The sequence below is a fragment of the Homo sapiens genome, chromosome 5, assembly GCF_000001405.40.
Source record: "Homo sapiens chromosome 5, GRCh38.p14 Primary Assembly".
NCBI classification, from domain to species: Eukaryota; Metazoa; Chordata; class Mammalia; order Primates; family Hominidae; genus Homo; species Homo sapiens.
Window position 1 is genome coordinate 160,033,079 of NC_000005.10, and position 21,403 is coordinate 160,054,481.

The window sequence follows — 21,403 nt, forward strand, 5'->3', positions numbered from 1 at the left end:
ACTGATACCTTGCCAGTAAACCTGCCCCCTAAAGTTTTTTGCTTAAGATAGTCTTTTGCTTGCATCCAGTAACCCTAATCAATACAGTAGAGATCATTACAATCTAAGCATCTTTCTTATGGGTAGTACTAGGTAAATATGGCCATATTCTTATATTTTATTTTTTTCTGAATTCCTTTAGAATAGCCCTTCCCTCAGATACGTTATATCTTAAAATGAATTGTTATTTGTACCTGCTGTGTGTCTGGCACATAGTATGTACCATAAAAATTAGATTCACTCTATACTTACCTTTTAGTTTCCTCACTGAGATTCATCAAGTGCTCTGTTTAATCCATAGTGTAATAATAAGACATTTGGGAAATACCCGGTCTCATCAATAGCATATTGACAAATCTTTTCCAGAGAAAGAATGTTTTTATTTTGGTTCCTGTATTAATCCATTTTCACACTGCTATTAAGAATTGCCTGAGAGTGGGTGATTTATAAACAAAAGAGGTTGAATTGACTCACAGTTCCACATGGCTATAGAGGCCTCAGGAAACTTAACAATCATGGCGGAAAGTGAAGAGAAAGCTGATGGTTTTAAAGTGTGGCACTTGAAAACCATCAGTTCTCATGAAAGTGAACTCACTATCATGAGAACAACATGGGGGAACCGTCCCCATGATCCAGGGTCCGTCCCTTGACCCGTGGGGATATTTGGGTAGGAACACAGATCATATCAGTTCCTCATGTTAAAAGGACCAATTGTTTAGGTTCCAGGCTTCTCTTGTGCATGAAATACCCTGCTAACTGTATTTCCTCCCTTTGAAATTACTTAATCAGAATGCTAACTGTATTTCCTCCCTTTGAAATTACTTAATCAGAAGCTTCAAGAAGGAGGAAAGAGCCCAGCACAGTGGTGTGCACCTATAGTCCCATCTACTCAGGAGGCTGAGGCAGAAGGATCACTTGAGTCCAAGAGTTCAAGGTTATAGTGTGTGTTGATCACATCTGTGAATAGACACTGCACTCTAGCCTGGACAACATAGTGAGACCCTATCTCTTTTTTTTTTTTTTTTTTTTTAAGGGACTTTGGTAGATTTTCTGTTTTTGGGGTTTTTTTGTTGTTTTTGTTTTAAAGCACTGTCAAAAGGTGGCAGGCATACAGACTCTTCTGGTTTGGCTTGTGCCAGTTATATTGTTAAGATGTTCCACAAAAAAGTGCACACACTCAGCATGCGTCTACTTTGCTTTGCAGGATAACATTCTCTCAGCCTTTGTGTTTGATGAGTTTTTGGCCATCTATGTGAGTTTCTGAGTTGTTTGAATAAGCTAAGAAAAGACAGACTTATTTATTTAGGTTTCTTCACATTTTCCTATGTTAACCTGCTAACAGTATACTGCCCTAACCCTACAGACTTGGCTTGTACCCACAAATGTGCTCTCCTAGCATACTGTGTCTCCTTCATGACACAAACCATGAAGGGTTCTTATAAGGATTAAAGTACTTATTTCACAGAAAATAATAGCTTATTTATTGAGCCCTTATTTGCTAGTCACTGTATGGGCAGCTTTATGTATATTATGACATTAATCCATTAAACAGTAGTCCATAATACTATTAAAGCTTCATTTTTGAAATGAAGAAACTAAGGCTCAGAAAGATTCTGAAACTTGTCCGAGGCCACATAACTAGTAAGTACTAGAAGCTACAATTTGAATTTACACTGGTATGCACACCAGTGGGTATGTTATTTAGTTTCATTTCTGAGTAAGTAGAAATTAAGTGATACTGTAATTATCATTCCATTGCAAAAGATAGAAACATAGAAAGCAAAGGACATGCCAAGAAGACCTACATTTTTTGTTTTAAACATCAAGAATGCAATTGATAATTAGCCTGATGGTCATGTGTTTTTTTTCCTCTATCACTGTACAAGGTTTTGGTGAAACTGATGCAGTTCTCAAAAGTCAGACTGTTGCCTATTAAATAGACTTGTGCATAAGGAAAGCTCACCTTTTTGTTCACTTATAATAATATTGTGAGAAATTATGTAATTCTCTGATGTCTTTCAGAAAAGAAGAGAAGAGAGCACTAGACTAAAGGAGGAGGGAAATGAACAGTTTAAGAAAGGAGGTAAGACGACTTTCAGCACTGATAATCTGGTCATCTTGACTCCTCATCCTGTTGTAGAGTCTGTGAAGAAACCCCAAAGAACATCTGAAGAAACCCCAAAACCAGACTTCACAATACAGTGTTGCTTCCCAGTACCTTGGCATTTTGAGTTTTTAACCAGGCCAAATTATTCATCTGATGGTGACCAGTTACCATTTGTCTCTTGGCACATGCATAGTCTTTCTGTAATCCACTATCTGTTAGTCTAGAATCAGGGGTAAAACTCTTGAGCTCTTGCTTTGGAAAACACTAACCTGGAATATTAAAGGTTATGTGCTGCATTGCTGTGAAAGCAGAGTCGCCGCTCCTCACTTGCTGTGGGGCTGTGAAAGCAGCCTGACTGCTCTGGTATGGCCTAGGGCTGCCTGTCCTTTGGTTGCTCTTTCTTTCTTTCTTTCTTTTTTTAAATTCTCCAAACTGCTTCAGAAAGGTTGCTCTTTCATGTGCCATTTTCTTTGGATGCCTTAAGTAGGGAGATTCTTCATGTCCTTCTGCATTTTCTACATTTGCTTAGAAATAAGTTGGTGGGGTTCATTCTGATAATTTGGGGTAACTATTTGATCTTAGAGCAAAAGTCTTCTGTCACATCTTAAAGTGTATATGCTTCAGAAATCTAGGAGTGTTAACATTTTCCGCTAGTTATTTTCAGGTTTTTAATTTTTTTCTTATTGTTTTCCAAAAGTTACCCTATTACCTGATTTCAGATTTTAGGGTTTTTTTTTTTTTCCTATATCTTGGTTTAGTAATCATTAATACTGTTTTCTAATAGAATAAACACTTCTAATTTTGGAAGCATATTTTTTGTATGTTAATATTAAATATTTCAAACCTGAGAAAGGAGTACATAGGCAATTTTCTATTAGTATCCTGACCATAATTCTCTTTTTCACCATTTTCTCTTTTAAGGTCTTGATTTAAATATTGATTTTTACATTGTTCCTTTTAGCTCTATCAAATGTCTCTCTTCAAACATTTCACGGATGCTGTTTTAGCCAGGTTGACTGTATGAAAGCACAACAGATTTAATGAAAACAAATATGTATAATTTTTTTCTTTATCTCAGGCCATGGATCCCAGAGTTTAGTCTCTTTCCTCTGTCCAGTTCTGTAACCTCCTTTGAAAACTCCTTTCTGAATTGCCCAGCCAAATGAAAACTGAACATTGAGGGAATGCCAGGACTCCTGAGTATTGAGGGCTTGTCACTGACAGCATGTTCAGCTGTCAGTTCACCAAGCACAGCCTGTGAGATTGGCACAAGCAAGCACTGTTCCTTTAAAGAGAGAAGAAAAGAAGAAATGATTTTTACTGCGCCAGACTTAATAGACTGTTACCATCTTTTAACTCAAAACCTTCATCCTATGAATGGAAAACAGTGCTTCTGAGATCCTGTGGAATATAGTAGTATCAGGAATAAAATCAAAATGACCATTCATCCTTTCTCTTATCCTCAGATTATATAGAAGCTGAAAGTTCTTATAGTCGAGCCCTCGAAATGTGCCCATCCTGCTTCCAAAAGGAGAGGTCGATTCTATTTTCAAATAGAGCTGCAGCAAGGATGAAACAGGTATGTATCTGTGACCTTTTCTTTTTAAAAAGCACATGGACTTGCAGTCTTTTCATACCATAGTTTCTCTCCAGAAACTAGCATAGAGGTTGCTGCCTCCCTTTTCCTGCCCATATATTTCCCTGATGTAAAGGCCACAGGGAGAATAGAAAATCTTTTGAAAAACTTGAGTCAGATTACTGTTAACATTCCCCATTAAAGTAGCTGAGTGAATACTTTCATGGAAGGAGGGCTGGCAAATTTTTTGCTAAACTAGGTCAGGTTAATGAAGCAATGAGCCAAGCAGTGCATGTCCTAGAATAGCTCTAGATCCTTATTTTAGGCCTCTGGAATTCTAGATAAACATGCAAAGGCACAGGGAAACACTGGTAAAAACTCTGGGCTTTAAAGCATCTTTAAAGATGGTTATTCCCAGGATTCTGACTTTTCTGTTCAAAGTATGGACACTTGGAGAAATCTCCAACAGCTGGGATAAAAGGTACCCTTAAATGCAAAATAGGTGTCAAGGAACTTTGAAAACATTTTGTATTTCCAAAGGACTGAGAACCTAGTATAACAAGGTGAGTATGGAATAGGTGAGAGTACAAATATATTTGTTTTATACCATGACCTTATTAAAAGTTAGATTTGGGCCAGATGCAGTGGCTCACACCCGTAAACCCAGCACTATGGGTGGCCGAGGCGGGCACATCACCTGAGATCAGGAGTTCGAGACCAGCCTGGCCAACATGGTCAAACCCCATCTCTACTAAAAATACAAAAATTAGCCAGGCATGGTGGTGGGCACCTGTAATCCCATCTACTCAAGAAGCTGAGGCAGGAGAGTCGCTGAAGCCTGGAGGCAGAGGTTGCAGTGCACTGCACTCTGGCCTGGGCGACAAGAGCAAAACTCTGTCTCAAAAAAAAAGTTAGATTTGTTTCTGATTTGTCTGATTTTCCGATTTAGTCTTCATAATCCTTGGATTGAAATGAGAGTGGTTTTTTTTTTTTTTAAACCATACCACTTTTTAAACTATGGCTACTTACATCCAAAGTACAAAGGATAGGTTATTTAACATACCTTTAAGCAACCATGATGCTGGCTCAAGATTGGAAGTGGCAGTGTTTTCATTTGTTTGTTTAGATCAGATATCTCTTTGATACTGTCTGAAATTCTCAAATGCCTCTACCACAGTCACTTTAGGTGACAAGGTTTTTTTTGTTGTTGTTGTTTTTTTTAAAGGCCCCAGGGCAGGGTTGCGGGGGTGGGTGCTTGAATGCTTGGACATGCAGAAAGGTTACGGTTTTTTTTTTTTACCAGAACTTGTGTAAGATTCAATCTTCAAAGCAGAGTATTTTTGGAGTATTTCATGTGGCATGAGAGAAGAAATAATTTTATAGTATACAAACCAACATTTTGTATTAGAGAAAACAAAACAATTGGTTTAACTTTATTTAAAACAATATTCATTAATGTGTCCCACCAGCAATCAGAATTAACATCTAACAGTTTTTACACTTACCTGGAAAATTCTGATCTTTTAGATTTGCTTCTCCCTTTTGCCACATTTTTAGACTGGACATTGTCATTGTGAAATAGGATCAAGGATGTGCCTTCAGTATCAGAGGAAATGCACCATACCCAGTTGGCTCCTGGGATTTGGGATTCTTTGTTTCTACAGTTGCCCAAGTTATTGATATTTCTAGGTTTGGGCTCACATAAATAGTCTGGTTCTTGAGTTAGGAAAATGTATGGTCTTGTTAGTATTTTGTCTGTCACATCTGAGGAGAACTCAAAAGAGCGTTGCTCTATGATTGTTGCCTGTTCAAAGAATAGTTTTGTTGGTGAAGTTTTCTGTTCTTTTAAGTTGCGTTTCTTTTTTTTTTTTTTTTTTTTTGAGACGGAGTCTCACTCTGTCACCTAGGCTGGAGTGCAGTGGTGTGATCTCGGCTCACTGCAACCTCCGCCTCCCGTGTTCAAGCGATTCTCCTGCCTCAGCCTCCTGAGTAGCTGGGATTACAAGTGCGCGCCACCACGCCAGGCTAATTTTTGTATTTTTAGTAGAGACAGAGTTTCACCATGTTGGTCAAGCTGGTCTCAAACTCCTGACCTCGTGATCCGCCCACCTCAGCTTCCCAAAGTGCTGGGATTACAGGCGTGAGCCGCCGTCCCCGGCCTTAAGTTGCATTTTTAATACTTTATGAAGACTCTAAAATGAGAGACTTGATAACTTCTAGGATTAGTACCCTGACACAATTTAAGGAGCATATTATATTCTAAGTTTTTCAAGGAAATGATGGTTTAACTGCTTTAAGAGGTAAAGATGAAGAATTTCTGAAAGGCAGGTTTGCAAGCTCAGCATCCCTGACTCAGTGCCCCTGGCCACGCTTCACATTTCATATCTGGAGAGAGAAAAGGTAACCTGGAGCTAGGGCAGAGTTTCAGCTCTAGGTCTCGCTAGCTATACAAGAGCAGAGCCCTAAAAGAGTAGGTTCTCTTTTTTTTTTTTTTTTTAACTACTGTCCTTATATATTATATACATTGTTTTATATGTATAGTTAGATTTGTTTGTCCTTATATGCTGTGTACATTTGTTTTGTCACTATATATTATGTATACTGTTTTATATAGATAGATAGCTACCTATATATAAAAATTATGAAAGAATGGTAAAGTTGTGATTTTTTTTTTTTTCCCACACACTCCACTTTGGGGACTACCATTGTAAGCAGCAGACAACACCTGGGTCCTCTGAGGTATTAGTAGACTATGAGCCTCAAACAAAAGTTTCTGCAATAAAATTCCATAATTCCTTGATTTGAGGAGACAGTGGATAAGATGCACTACAGCTTAATAATCACTTCTAGGCACACAAAGAATACCATCACAACAGTTGTACACATAAATTGTAAAGATTTATTTCTATTTCAGAAACTGTGAAATTGTGTGTCTTTGACTTATAGAAATGTGATAAGTTGAAAAAATATTGACTTATATAAAGTTATACAGATTACTTACAGGACTTCTTAGAGTTTTTGATATTTGAATTGGTATGCTGAACATTGAAAGAGAAATAAAAAAAGGTCCCAGATGACCCTGAAACCTTTTTTGTTTTGTTTATTGTGGTAAAATACAGATAACATAAAGTTGGCCATTTTAAAGTACAGTCATGAGTCACTTAACAACGGGTATACATTCTGAGAAATGTGTTATTAGGTGATTTCATCATTGTGCAAACATCATAGAGTATACTTACACAAATCTGGATGGTATGGCCTACTACACACCTAAGCTATATGGTATAACCTATTGCTCCTGGGCTACAAACCTGTACAGCATGTTTCTGCACTGAATTACTATAGGCAGTTGGAACACAATGGTAAGTATTTGTGTATCTAAAAAGAAAAGGTGCAGTAAAAATGCAGTATTTTTTAAATGGTGCATCTATATATATAGATACATAAACACACACACATATGTATACACACACACACACACATACATATACCGTGTATGCCATGAATGGATCTTGCAGGACTGGAAATTGCTCTGGGTGAGTCAGTGAGTGAGTGGTGAGTGAATGTGAAGGCCTAGGACATTACACTACTGTAGACTTCATAAATATCTTACATTTAGGCTTCACTAAATTTATTTTTTTAATTTTTCTTTAATAAATTCACCTTGGTTTACTGTGCCTTGTTTTCTTTATAAACTTTTAAATTTTTTTAAACTCTTTTATAATAACAGCCTAAAACATAAACATGTTGTACAACTACAAAAATATTTTCTTTATGTCCTTTTCTCTTCTGAGCTGGGGCAGGGTCTTGCTCTGTTGCCCAGGCTGGAGTGCAATGGCACAGTCATCGCTCACTACAGCCTTGAACTCCTGGACTCATGCGATCCTCCCACCTCAGCCTCTCCAGCAGCTGGGTAGCTGGGACTACAGACCTGCACTACCACTCCCAGCTAATTTTGTTTGGTTTTCTTTTAATTTTTTTTTTTTAATTTTTTTAGAAATGGGGTCTTGTGTTTCACAGATTAGTCTTGAACTCCTGGCCTCAAGTGGTCCTCCTGCTTTAGCCTCCCGAATCACTGGAATTATAGGCGTGAGCTACTGTGCCCAGCTATATCTTTATTCTATATACTTTTTTCTATTAAATAATTTTTTTTTTTTTTACTTTTTAAACTTTTCTGTTGAAAACTAGGATGCAAATACACACAGTAGCCTAGGCCTACACAGGATCAGGAGCATCAGTATCACTGTCTTCCAGCTCCACATCTAGTCCCACTGGAAGGTCCTCAAGAGCGACACATACATGAAACTGTCATCTCCATCTCCTATGATAAAAATGCCCTGTTCTGGAATACTTCCATACTTCCGATAGGACCTGCCTGAGGCTGTTTGACAGTACACTTTTTTTTAGTAGAAGGAGTACACTCTTAACATAATAAAAAGTAGTGTATAGTAAATACATAAACCAATAACAGCCATTTATTATCAAGTATTATGTATGTATTATGCTTTCTTTCTTTTTTTTTTTTTTTTGGAGATAGAGTTACTCTGTTGCCTAGGCTGTAGTACAATGGCGCTGTCTCAGCTCACTGCAACCTCTGCCTCCCGGTTTCAAGCAATTCTCCTGCGTCAGCCTCTTAGGTAGCTGGGATTACAGGTGTGTGCCACCATGCCCAGCTAATTTTTTTGTATTTTTTCTAGAGATGGGGTTTCACCATGTTAGCCAGGCTGGTCTTGAACTCCTGACCTCAGGTGATCCGCCCACCTTGACCTCCCAAAGTGCTGAGATTACAGGCATAAGCCACCATGCCCGGCCTGTGTTATATTTTCACATGACTTGCAGTGCAGTAGGTTTGTTTACCCCAGCATCACACCAACACCTGAGTAGTAGGTTATGCCATGATGTTATGACGGCTACTATGTCATTAGGTGATAGGAATTTTTCAGCTCCGTTATACTCCTATGGGACTACTGTTTTATACACAGTCTATCATTGATTGAAACGTCATTGTACAGTGCATGACTGTATACAATTCTGTGGATTAAAATACCTTCACAGTGTTATACAGCCAACACCACTATCTAGTTCCAGAACTTTTCCATCATCCTAAAAGGATCCTCCACACTCCTGAAACTTTTTTTTTATTTTCTGAGATGGAGTCTTGCTCTGTTGCCCAGGCTTGAGTGCAGTGTCGTGAACTCAACTTACTGCAATCTCCACCTCCTGGTTTCAAGCAATTCTCCTGCCTCAGCCTCCCAAGTAGCTGGGACTACAGGCACCCACCACCACACCCGGCTAATTTTTGTATTCTTAGCAGATACAGGGTTTCACCATGTTGGCCAGGCTGGTCTCGAACTCCTGACCTCTAGTGATCCGCCCACCTTGGTCCTCCAAAATGCTGGGATTACAGGCATGAGCCGCTGCGTCCAGCCCTGAAACTGCTTTTGATTGAATCCTGAAACAGTTTGGCTGTCACTGCTGTGAAATATTCTGCAAAATATTTAGTATTTGCTACAGTAGGCATTGTGAGAATATTGAACACTTATTTGAAATACCTTATTTCTGTAATACAAAAATTCCTAATTTCAGGAAAATGGACATTTTAGACCTGCAAGACATCTTATATAACATCCAGTCTACCCCGCTCCTATTTTAGATGAGACAAACTGAGCCCTAGAGAAGGAAAATAGCATGGGCAATGTTAAAGAGCAGGTTATTGTCAAAGCCAGGACCAGAATTCAGTTCTTTGACATCCAGTGTTCTTTCCGCTATGTCATGCTTCTAGATTCAGAAACTAATTGAGTTAGATATTTTGTTTAAGAGTTGTGTATTTTTGTTTGATCAGTGGATAAATTAAGGTTTATAACTGAGACTACATGACAAGCCACACTGTGTGTCTGTAGGTGGAGCATCTGTATACTTTCTGAAATATACCACTTTGGGGTATGATAGTATAACCACTAGCCAGAGAGGAGGGTAATTCAGTTATTCACATGTCAGTCATTTGCCCTGTTTTAGGTCACAAAGTTTCTCAGTGTCAGCATTCTAATGTAAAGTGTCTTGCAAATGTAATAGGTCAGTTAGAACAAAAGACACTTTCAGAAAAAAGCGACTTGAATAAGTGTTACCAGGAGGCCTTCAGATCAGAGCCATCCCCATCCCCGTGTTAATTTTGAGTTTTGTCTTGGAAGTAACATTCAGGTTTTTACGTAATTTCTTTGAAAACCATTCTGTATCTCCATAAGCAGTTATTAGTGATCAGATCATGTCATTAAGCCTTTGGGCCATTAAGATAAAACTAGGGCAACACATATTAATACTGTTTTTCTTTTTAGGACAAGAAAGAAATGGCCATCAATGACTGCAGCAAAGGTACAGCTTTATTATCTTATTACATGTTAACATACAGGAGCATTATGTCAGACAGAGGGGCTTTGGGTCAGGTGTGCACTTGTACATGTGTACCCTTCCTCTGGGGCCTTGCAAGAGGCAACTTTATAATTATTTTCAAAGATACTATATAATAGAGTAACTGCTTTTGAATGGATAGTTCAATCAGTTTCTCCTCTACTGGTAAATACATGAAGAAAAATTCAGTGCTCTAGCCTGGGCAACATGACAAAACCCTGTCTGTACCAAAAATACGAAAGTTAGGCATATGTGGTGGCATGCCCCTGTAGTCCCAGCTACTCGGGAGGCTGAAGTGGATCACCTGAGCCCAGGAGGTTGGGGCTGTGGTGAGCCGTGATTATGCCACTTACTCCAGCCTGGGTAACAGAGTGACCCTGTCTCCAAAAGAAAAAAGAAAACTTCAGTGCTCTCTTGGCAACAGAACTCATGGAATAGAATTTACCTCCTGTAGTCTCTGAATTACATTCTGTTGAGATTCAAAGTGAAGATCATAGCTGCTATTAGAGCATTTGGATCTGTGTGTTTTGAGAAGGGGGACAACTGTGATGAGGGACAGTTTCTGTTGGTGAATTGATAGTCTTTTCAAGTGTCATAATTCTTCCAAACCTACTTCACATCATTTTTTTTTAACCCTTTCAGATTCTACACAATGAATCAAGCCTTTGCTATATGATATCTAAGTTCTATTAAGGTCTTATCACCCCACTAACTTTTATAGGGACACCTCAGACATAGGGTCACTACAGTTTTTTTGTGTTTTGGGGTTGTTTTGTTTTGTTTTTCAAAAATTGCCTGATAGGCCAGACAGGTGCCTTGCCTTTCTCACCAACTTCATGTGAAGAATGTACATAATCACTTTTTCTTGCGGCTTAGTCTCAGAAGTTTTTCTAGCAAATCACTATTTTTGTGTTTTCTATTTTTTTAGTTTTTCTTCTTTGGATAATAGTTTCTGGGACAATTATAGAGTGCAAGAGAACCTTATATGTTATCTAGATCCCCTGTCACGCTAAGCATATATTCCCCTGCTGTTACCAAAAAGGGGTCCTGATCCAGACCCCAAGAGAGGATTCCTGGACCTCTCACAGGAAATAATTCAGGGCAAGTCCATAAAGTGAAAAAGCAAGTTTATTAGAGAAATAAAGAAACAAAAGAATGGCTACTCCATAGGCAGAGCAGCAATGTGGGCTGCTCAGTAAAGTATACTTACAGTTATTTCTCAATTATATGCTAAGCAAGGGGTGGATTACTCATGAGATTTCCAAGAATGGGGCAGAGATTTCCCAGAACTGAGGGTCCCTCCCCTTTTTAGAATATATAGGGTAACTTCTGAATGTTGCCATGGCATTTGTAAACTATTGTGGTGCTGGTGGGGATGTCTTTTAGCATGTTAATGCATTATAATTTGCATTTAGGGAGCAGTGAGGATGACCAGAGGTCACTTCCATCGCCATCTTGGCTTTGGTGGGCTTTGGCCAGCCTCTTTACTGCATCCTGTTCTGTCAGCAGGGTCTTTGTGACCTGTATCTTGTGCCAACCTCCTGTCTCATCCTGTGACTAAGAATGCCTTAACCTCCTGGGAATGCAGCCCAGTAGGTCTCAGCCTTATTTTACCCAGCCCCTATTCAAGATGGAGCCACTTTGATTCAGATGCCTCTGACACTCTAATTTTTTATTTAATTAATTTGGTGCCCTCTCTACTGGCTTTCTTTTCTTTATATTTGGTATTTCCTTATAGTATCTGAATGAAACTCTTTCTATATTATAATATAGAAGACCACTTCTGATGTGTTACCAAGTTGGACTGGAACTAACTCTGAATGTACTGTTTTGTTTGGAAGAAGTTATTTAACCTATTTCCTTTATGTGAGGATGTGTGGGTTTGGGAAGTTTAAATTAGGAACAAGCTGCTGGTTTTCAAAGCTTCTTTCTCTGTAACCAAATGGTGAAAAAATGCCTTGTAAGCGTGATTAGCATGGTATGTTGTAAGAAATAGTTCATTTCCATATGAAACAGTTTACTTCCAGCTGCAGCCCGAAGTGTAGGAGCCTTGCCTAGAAAATGAGGGAAAGGAGAAGAAAGTGTTTTCCAACCAAAGTGTTTTCCGCATTTGTTTTTGGATTTGCTTAAACTAATATTTATGTGGTTAGACATGGTCATTATGGATACATGCATTGTATTCATAGGCAAATTACATTTATATCAATATGGTTTGTTTGTATTGAGAGCCCCCGACATCCCCCACCCTCCACACACACACACACACACACACACACACACACACACACACACACACACACACACACACATACACACTCTCTCTCTCTCTCTCTCTCTCTCTCTCTCTCCCCCTCCCCTCTCTCAATCTCTCAATTCATAAACCTTGGCAAAGAACTTAGCTTATTTCTGAGGTCATATTGGAGCTCCAGGGTTTTCATCCTTGACATAAAGTTTAAGTTCATTCTCACCTCAGTCTCCTAAGTAGCTGGGACTACAGGTGCACGCCACCACACCCAGCTAACTTTTTTTATTTTTTATTTTTTATTTTATTTTTTGGGACAGAGACTCGCTCTGTTGCCTAGGCTGGAGTGCAGTGGTGCCATCTTGGCTCACTGCAACCTCTGCCTCCCAGGTTCAAGCGACTCTTCTGCCTCAGCCTCCTGAATAGCTGGGACTACGGGCGCATGCCACCATGCCCGGCTAATTTTTGTATTTTTGGTAGAGACAGGGTTTCACCATATTGGCCAGGCTGCTCTCGAACTCCTGACCTCGTGATCTGCCTGCCTCGTCCTCCCAAAGTGCTGAGATTACAGGCATGAGCCACTGCCCCCAGCTCAAGATTAGGGTTCTTTCAGAAAACCTTCTCCTGACCCAATATTCTCCTTCAATTGCTGTACCATTTATCTGATCCCTTTCATTGAAATAATTGTCTATACTTGGCTGTCTCTACTTTGTCTTATCCTATTTTTCTCCTTACTTCACTTCCATGGAGCATTTGTTTTATCCATGCCATTGAAACCCATCTTGTAAAGGTCATCAGCAGTTTCATCTTGCTCAATTTAGTCGTTGCTTCTCTAGCCTAACTTTACTTGACCTTACCTGCATTTAATACAGTTTATCATTCCTTTCTCCTTTAAAATTCTCTCTCTTAAATTTAATGAACTCTATTCATTTTTTCCCTGCTTCATTGGCTATTCCTTCTTATTCTCCTCTGTTAGCTTTTATGTCAACTTCAACATTTTGGAAGTCTCTAGATCTTAGTTGAGCGTGGGACCCTCTTCTTTTTTTTTCCCCTCTGTATTTTCTCCCTAAGTGATCTCATTCAGTTCTGAAGCTTTAAATACTATCTATAAATTAGCACAATGTAGCCATTCCACCTTGTGTGTATATTTCAAAACATGTTATGTTATATTTATGTTTATGTTATATACCATAAATATACACAATTTTTATTTGTCATTTTAAAAGTTAAATTAAGACAGAAGGAAAATGCACGGATTTTTTAACCTAAGAAATTAGAGCAACAGGCCGGGCACAGTGGCTCACGCCTGTAATCCCAACACTTTGGGAGGCTGAGGCTGGTGGATCATGAGGTCAGGAGTTTGAGACCAGCCTGATCATTATGGTGAAACCCTGTCTCTACTAAAAGTACAAAAATTAGCAGGGCATGGCGGCACGTGCCTGTAATCCCAGCTACTCAGGAGGCTGAGGCAGGAGAATCACTTGAACCTGGGAGGTGGAGGTTGCAGTGAGCCGAGATCACGCCATTACACTCCAGCCTGGGTGACAGAGCAAGATTCCGTCTAAAAAAAAGAAATTGGAGCAACAAAAATGCAATTAAGGGAAACAAAAGGAGTATTTTCATAAAGATAAAAGCCAAAATTCATGAATTTTAAAATATAAAACTAATAAATACATGCCATGTGTATGGCAGAGTTTCTGTCTTCAACTCTGACTTCTACCCTGTAGTCTAGTGTCCTGTATCCCACTGCAAAGTTCTTTCTTCTTGGATGTCTGGTAGGCACCTCAGATTTAACGTGCCCAGCCCCCACACACACACAAAACTTGCAGTTAGTTTTTTCCATTCTAATAAATGACATTACCATCTGTCCCCTTGCTTAAGTTAAACCTTTGGAGTCATCCCTGATTGTTCTTTCGTGTCACATGGCTAATTGATTAATTAGCAAGTTCCATGGGCTCAAATTTAAAGACATATTTAATGTAATCCGGCTGCTGTTTTCCATCTCTACTACTTCCAGCTTAGACCAAGCCAACATCTTCTCTCATCTGGACCACTGCATTAGCTTTCCAGCTGATCTCACAGCTTTCAGTCTTGCCCCACCCGCCAACACTACAGCCAAAGCAGTCCTTCAAAAATGTAAATCAGAGTATGTCTGAAGCTTGCTTGAAAACTTTCCAGTGGCTTCTCATCACACTGAGGAAAAAGTCCAAACTCCTTTCCCTGGCCAGGAAGGTCCTCCATGGCCCTACATTTCAGCCTCTGATCCCCAGCCTGATAACTCACATGCCAGAGTTATTCTTGTTGGTCCCTCTTCCTGGCACGCTCCTCCTTAGCCTTTCACATGGCTGGCCTCTCTCACATAGTCCCTCTTCATATTCTGAGACCACTTTCTGAAGTTACCTCATTTCTCGCTTCACTTGTATTTCCATGACCTTGTTTTATTTTTCATTATAGTACTATGGCTATTGAAATTATATACCTGTCTGTTCTTGCCTACTAGAATAGCATAAGGCTTCATGAGAACAAGGACTGTGTCTGTCTTGTTTCCCACTATAGCCCAGAGACATACTACATTGGACGTATATATTAAGTACTAAATAAATGTTCACAGAAAGCATGAATTTAAAAATTAAGGATAGATTATGAGAAAAGAAAAAAGTTCTAGAGCCAAGACATTGCTTTTTTTTTTTTTTTTTTTTTTTTTTTTTTTTTTTTGGGACAGAGTATTATCTCTCTGTTGCCCGGGCTGGAGTACAGTGATGCAATCGCCACTCACTGCACGCAACCTCCGCCTCCTGGGTTCAAGTGATTCTTATGCCTAAACCACCCAAATAGCTGGGATTATAGACCCACACTGCCACGCCCAGCTAATTTTTGTATTTTTAGTAGTGATGGGGTTTCGCCATGTTGGCTAGGCTGACGGTCTCAAAGTCCTGACCCCAATTGACCTGCCTGCCTCGGCCTCCCAAAGTGCTGGGATTATGGGCCTGAGCCACCACACCCGGCCAGCACTGCTTTCTAATAGAAAAAGAAACAACTTGGAAGAAATTAGAAGAAATGCAGTATGTTGAACCAAAACATAGCAAAGGATTATTAGAAGGGCAGCTGATGCTGGATAAAGGAAAAGATATTATGCATCAACCACCTCATAGTGCTGGAGCAGTAGTTTGAGGGTTGAAGGAACAGTGAGGATTTAACTAGAAATATAATCTTAGTACTCAAGACCTAGAAAAAAGAGAATGATAGTCTGCCACCAGATTGGTTTCCCTTAACTCTTTAATTTGTATCTTCAAATTCTCTCTCACCTAGCCTGGCCAACATAATGAAACCCCATCTCTACTAAAAATACAAAAATTAGCCGGGCATGGTGGCGCATGCCTGTAATCCCAGCTACGTGGGAGGCTGAGGTAGGAGAATCGCTTGAACCTGGGAGGAGGTGGTTGTAGTGAGCCAAGATCACACCACTGCACTCCAGCCTGGGTGACAGAGCGAGACTCCGTCTAAAAAAAAAAAATTCTCTCTCACTCTTTCACTGCGCACTTGAACTCTGTTCTGGCCTGTCCTGGACTGGGTAAATGACAAGTAGGCAAAAACCAGGACTTGGAGTATAGACCAGGATATGGCAAACTACAGCCACAAGCCAAATCCAGCCTGCCACCTGTTTTTGATAGCCTAAAAGCTAAGAATGGTTTTTACAGTTTTAAATCATTGGAAAGCAAAATATTTCATGATAATGTGAAAATTATGTGAACTTAAATTTTAGTGTCCATAAATAGTTTATTGGAACACACCTATCCTTTTTTGTTTACATATTATCTGTGCCTGCTCTCGTGCTACAATAGTATCATTGAGGAGCTGCGACACAGATGGTCTGTCTGACCCACAAAGCCTACAATCTTTACTATCTTGCTCTTTATAGAAAAAGTTTTCCAGCATCAGGTATACACTTGGCAAATGACTCTTCCTTTCGTATCCTTGGAGGATGATTGATGAAGGAATCTGATATAGCCAAAGATATGTAGGCCATTTTTCTTTGTGATAAAAATTATTTCTTCTCTTTTTACAGCAATTCAATTAAACCCCAGCTATATCAGGGCAATATTGAGGAGAGCAGAGTTGTATGAGAAGACGGACAAGCTAGATGAAGCCCTGGAAGACTATAAATCTATATTAGAAAAAGATCCATCAATACATCAAGCAAGAGAAGCTTGTATGGTAAAACCTAAAATTTTAAAAATATTTTTCCTTCTATTCTTTGTGTTGCTACCCAGTGAGTCCTAAATAATCCTTTCAGACACAATTAAATTCCATTTCTGTGCTTTTGAGGAGCTTATCAAGATATATGGGAGGCCAGGCGCAGTGGCTCTTGCCTGTAATCCCAGCACTTTAGGAGGCCAAGGAGGAGAGATCACTTGAGGCCAGGAGCTCGAGACCAGCCTGGCCAACACAACAAAACCCCATCTCTTCTAAAAATACAAAAAATTAGCCGGGTGTGGTCGTACACATCTGTAATCCTAGCTACTCGGGAGGCAGGAGAATTGCTTGAACCCAGAAGGCAGAGGTTGCAGTGAGCTGAGATCATGCCACTACACTGCAGCCTGGGCAACAGAGAGGATCATTGAGCCCAGGAGTTGGAGGCTGCAGTGAGCTGTGACTACATCACTGCATTCCATCATGGGCAACAGAGTAAGACTTTGTATCTTAAAAACAAACCAACAGGCTGGGTGCAGTGGCTCACGCCTGTACTCCCAGCACTTTGGGAGGCCGAGGAGGGCGGATCACCTGAGGTCGGGAGTTCGAGACCAGCCTGACCAACATGGAGAAACCCTGTCTCTACTAAAAATACAAAATTAGCTGGGTGTGGTGGCACATGCCTGTAATCCCAGCTACTCGAGAGGCTGAGGCAGGAGAATCGCTTGAACCCAGGAGGTGGAGGTTGCAGTGAGCTGAGATTGCGCCACTGCACTCCAGTCTGGGCGACAGTGTGAGACTCTGTCTTAAAAAAACAAAAAATACAAATGAATTTAAAAAAAAGTTAAAAATACAAATATAGCACTGTAAACATCTGATATGTATCCTTTCAAACTTTTTTCTGTATATATTTATTTGTTAAATTTGTATTGATGCCCTCCTTTAGTGTAGACTTTCTATTAAGAACTGGAAACAGAGCCAAACAAAACTTTTTTTTTTTTTTTTTTTTGAGAAAGGGTCTCTGACTCCCAGGCTGGAGAGCAGTGGCACAGTCATGGCATACTGCACCCTCAACCTCCCAGATTCAAGCAACCCTCCCACCTCAGCCTCCTGAGTAGCTGCGACTACAGACACATGCCAACACACCCAGCTAATTTTTGTATTTCTTGTAGAGACAGCATTTTGCCATGTTGCCCAAGGTGGTCTCAAACTCCTGAGCTCAAGCGATCCTCCCAACTCGGCCTCCAAAAGTGCTGGGAATATGGGCAGGAGTCACTGCACCTGGCCCAAACAGAACTTTTGTCTTTATGTAGCGCACCACAAACATAAATACTTGGGGTTTTTTTTTTTTATTTAATAGGATCATAGACATACTTAACTTGATCTTATTTCCACATTAGGATTCTTGTGTTTCTCAAATTCAAAATAAAGGGAAAGGTTTTGGTTTTTTTTTTTTTTTTACCAACCCTTGTTTCTCCTCTTTTCCTCAGAGATTACCTAAGCAAATTGAAGAACGTAATGAAAGACTAAAAGAAGAGATGTTAGGTAAGCTTACTTCTTACTTTGCTTGATCATAAACAGCTAGGAACCTAGGGTGGGGACATAGCGAATACTAGAGGAGAACACATGAGTTAGAAAGTTTCGGACTCTACCACAAGGCTACTGACTTCTGAGTTATTTTGACCCCAGAAGGGGCAGCGTGGCTTAGAGAGGGTATTGGCTTTTTTTGGAAACCAGATTTCCTTTTTGATTTTCTTGGAAATTTTTCTTGCCTGCAAGAATTTAAGCATAATTCAGTTCCCTGGGATTATGCTTAAATGGGATTTAAAATCCTAGGATACCACCAACCTCGATTTCAGATAACAATTACATAAAAACAGTTTAGTTTCTTCATTGAATAATCATTCCTTGAGGTTCATTAGGATGCAGTCAAGATCATGAGAATTTTTATTTAGAAAATGGCACTCAAAGTCCCTTTAGTGTTTGAGAACACACGAGAGGGCAGGAATTAGGAGTAAAGAGAAATCAGACTGGGGGTAGGGGTAGGGCAAATGGATTCATTTGATCCATGTTTAGTTATTTCTCATATTTGCCAAAGCATTTTAGAGTTGGAACCTCCCACGAGCAATCTGCTTAAGTAAGAGGAGTGAGGGTTCCTGAACACAGACTTAAGTCTTTTCCACATGTAACCTGTCTGATATTTCGCTGGTGAAGATCTGCCATGTATTTTCCTTTTTGAGTATTTTCTAAATCTGTTGTTTGAATTACATTTTATAAACTGCAATCATGTGGCCCTAAAGGAAAAATCATTTAAAATAAATTGAGCCTGTCTGGCATTTATGGCCTTCAGACATCAGCATCCAGACAATGGGAACAAATTTCCCAAAGGATCATTCTGATAGCCAAGTTGATTGAGAGGAGGCCATTAACCTAGACTATCCAGAGACTTTGGCCCCTGCCGGGTAGACTCAGACTGTAAAGACGGCTGCTTCCGATTCAGGATAGCTCTGGAGCCTTCCCCAGATTTTCCAAAAAAGGGAGGGGGATGGGGGAGCTTTTCCCCTAATTTACATATTTAATTAAACTTGGCCAGGCACGGTGGCTCCTGTAATCCCAGCACTTTAGGAGGCCAAGGTAGGAGGATTGCTTGAGCCCAGGAGTTCAAGGCCAGCCTAGGCAACATGGTGAAACCCCATCTCCACAAAAAATTAGTCAGGCATGGTGGCATGTGCCTGCCCATAGTCCCAGCTACATGGGAGGATCACTTGAGCCCAAGGGTTAGAGGCTGCAGTGAGCTATGATGGTGCCACCACACTCCAGACTGGGCAACAGAGCATGACCCTGTCTCAAAGAAGAGGGAAAAGAGCATTTTCTCACCTATTTTTACTAACAATGATGCTCTATTTTAGCAAAAAAAAAAAAAAAAAAAAAAAAAACTGTTTGCATTTAGTATTTGAATTTCTTGCTAAAAAAGATGACCTTGTGAATGGCCATAGTGGATCTGGAAGGCATTGGTCTCTTAGTCCATTTTTTTAAAGCCAGTCCAGTAAAGGGACTGGTGCAAACTGAATCTTACTGCCTATTGTTAGTTCCAGATGGAATTAAAACTTCCATTTGTCCTTGTCTTTATAAATTCTAATGCACCAGAATTTTCTGTCTCCAAGGCTTTGGGTTTTTCTTATGTCATTCTCTTCATTTGAAAAAATTCAAATTGAATTCATTCCCTCGGTTGCTTCTAAAATGAATTCACCTGCCATTAGACTTAACCAACTTAAGTTGCTTTGTAAATAATATGTGTTGTTACACATGTGTAGTTTGAATGGCTAGATTCCTTTTTTCCCTTAATGAGTATAAAAATCATGAATAAGATACTGCTCTAGGTGTTACCCCACAATAGATAACCTAGAAGAGAGAAATCACTCTTTACATGGAATTTCAGCCCCCACAAGAGCTTTTCTGGTATTCCTTCCTCCTTGTTGCTGATGAGGTAACTTTGGTTCATGTTCTGTGAGATTCCCTAGAGGCTAGACATTCTGAATGCAAATTAATATCACTTAGAAGTTCTGAGCAAGCTTTTCACAGTGGACTGCATCATCTTTATGCTAGTTCCTGTTAAAATGATGGCTTCTATGGAGAATAAGCAGTTAAAAATTTTTTAAATTGGGTAGTGTGGGCTGGGTGTGGTGGCTCACACCTGTAATCCCAGCAATTTGGGAGGCTGAGCCCGAGTTCAAGACCAGCCTGGGCAACATGGCAAAATCCTGTCACTAAAAAAATTAGCCAGGTGTGCTGGTGTGCACCTGTAGTCCCAGCTACTTAGGAGGCTGCTGTGGGAGGATCACTTGAGCCCAGGAGATCGAGACTTCAGTGAGCCACAATGATGCCACTGCACTCAAGCCTGGGTGACAGAGTGAGACCTTGTCTTTAAAAAAAAAGAAAATTATAAAATCAGGTAGTGTGATGCCTATGCCTGTAGCTTTTGTTCTTTTTATTCAGGATCACTTTAGCTTTCAGAGTCTTTTGTGGTTCCATACAAATTTTAGGATTTTTCTATTTCTGTGAAGAATGTCATTGGTGTTTTGACAGGGATTACATTGAATCTGTGGATCACCTTGAGTAGTACAAAATGGGTTTTTATTTAGATGTGTTCAGTATTCTTTAACTTGTTTTTTCTTCCATCTCTGTAATTTCCTTTTCATTAGAAAGAAGAGCTATGTACTCCTTGAGGGAAAAAATCCTGATAGGAATTATTAGTGGGTAGAACAATTATTTGCTTTGCCCTTTCTAGCCCATCATTTATAATCTTTAGAACAAGAGACCCAGGGTGGCCATTAGTCCTAGTGGCACAGTCCTTGCTGATCACAGAAGATGATCGTGATAGCATCAAGACGATCACTTGAGGAAAGTGGTCAGCAGCTGGAGTGGGGGTTGGTTGTTTTTGTTTGTTTGTTTGTTTGTTTGGTCCTTTTCTCTGGGATAATTAGCCTCCCAGCCATAATAACCAAGGAATGTAAGGTTTAAAAGGACTTAAGGGTATGTGTGGTTGATAGTGTGATGAGATGGAAATAGAGACCCTGGACATAGCATCCCAGGAGGCTCAGAGCATTTTTGAGGAGCTAGTCATTGATGCTTTATTTGCTTTCTCTCTAATGGAATGATTTCACAGTTTTCTTAAATAGCTGGGAAAAAAGTTGGCTGGGTACAGTAGCTCATGCCTGTAATCCTAACATTTTGGGAGGCCAAGGTGGGAGGATTGCTTGAGCCCAGCAGTTCGAGACCAGCCTGGGCAACATGGCAAGACCCCCATCTCTGCAAAATCTTTAAAAATTAGCCAGGCGTGGTA

At 39.9% G+C, this 21,403-nt stretch overlaps 2 protein-coding genes across 3 annotated transcripts in view, besides 2 other annotated features; one reads left to right on the plus strand and one right to left on the minus strand.

Moving 5' to 3' along the window:
* The window catches only part of TTC1 (tetratricopeptide repeat domain 1), a 56,405-nt gene that overhangs the window by 23,940 nt on the left and 11,062 nt on the right, over positions 1-21,403 (plus strand). For both annotated transcript variants that reach the window (NM_003314.3, NM_001282500.2), the window contains exons 3-7: positions 2,062-2,122; positions 3,613-3,725; positions 10,055-10,091; positions 16,436-16,584; positions 18,051-18,105. In NM_003314.3, coding sequence (NP_003305.1) covers positions 2,062-2,122; positions 3,613-3,725; positions 10,055-10,091; positions 16,436-16,584; positions 18,051-18,105 — 415 coding nt within the window. The remainder of the gene's footprint in view (positions 1-2,061; positions 2,123-3,612; positions 3,726-10,054; positions 10,092-16,435; positions 16,585-18,050; positions 18,106-21,403) is intronic.
* Positions 9,519-10,213: an enhancer, noted in NCBI's record as "NANOG-H3K27ac hESC enhancer chr5:159469604-159470298 (GRCh37/hg19 assembly coordinates)". NCBI's record gives its function as "activates a minimal SCP1, AML or CMV promoter by ChIP-STARR-seq in naive H9 embryonic stem cells {active_cell/tissue: H9 hESC(naive)}" and the evidence as "EXISTENCE:reporter gene assay evidence [ECO:0000049][PMID:30033119]".
* Positions 10,214-10,908: an enhancer, noted in NCBI's record as "NANOG-H3K27ac hESC enhancer chr5:159470299-159470993 (GRCh37/hg19 assembly coordinates)". NCBI's record gives its function as "activates a minimal SCP1, AML or CMV promoter by ChIP-STARR-seq in primed H9 embryonic stem cells {active_cell/tissue: H9 hESC(primed)}" and the evidence as "EXISTENCE:reporter gene assay evidence [ECO:0000049][PMID:30033119]".
* The window catches only part of PWWP2A (PWWP domain containing 2A), a 75,135-nt gene continuing 64,969 nt past the window's right edge, over positions 11,238-21,403 (minus strand). The window contains exon 4 of the mRNA XM_011534424.4: positions 11,238-12,181. Coding sequence (XP_011532726.1) covers positions 12,125-12,181 — 57 coding nt within the window. The 3' untranslated portion in view covers positions 11,238-12,124. The remainder of the gene's footprint in view (positions 12,182-21,403) is intronic.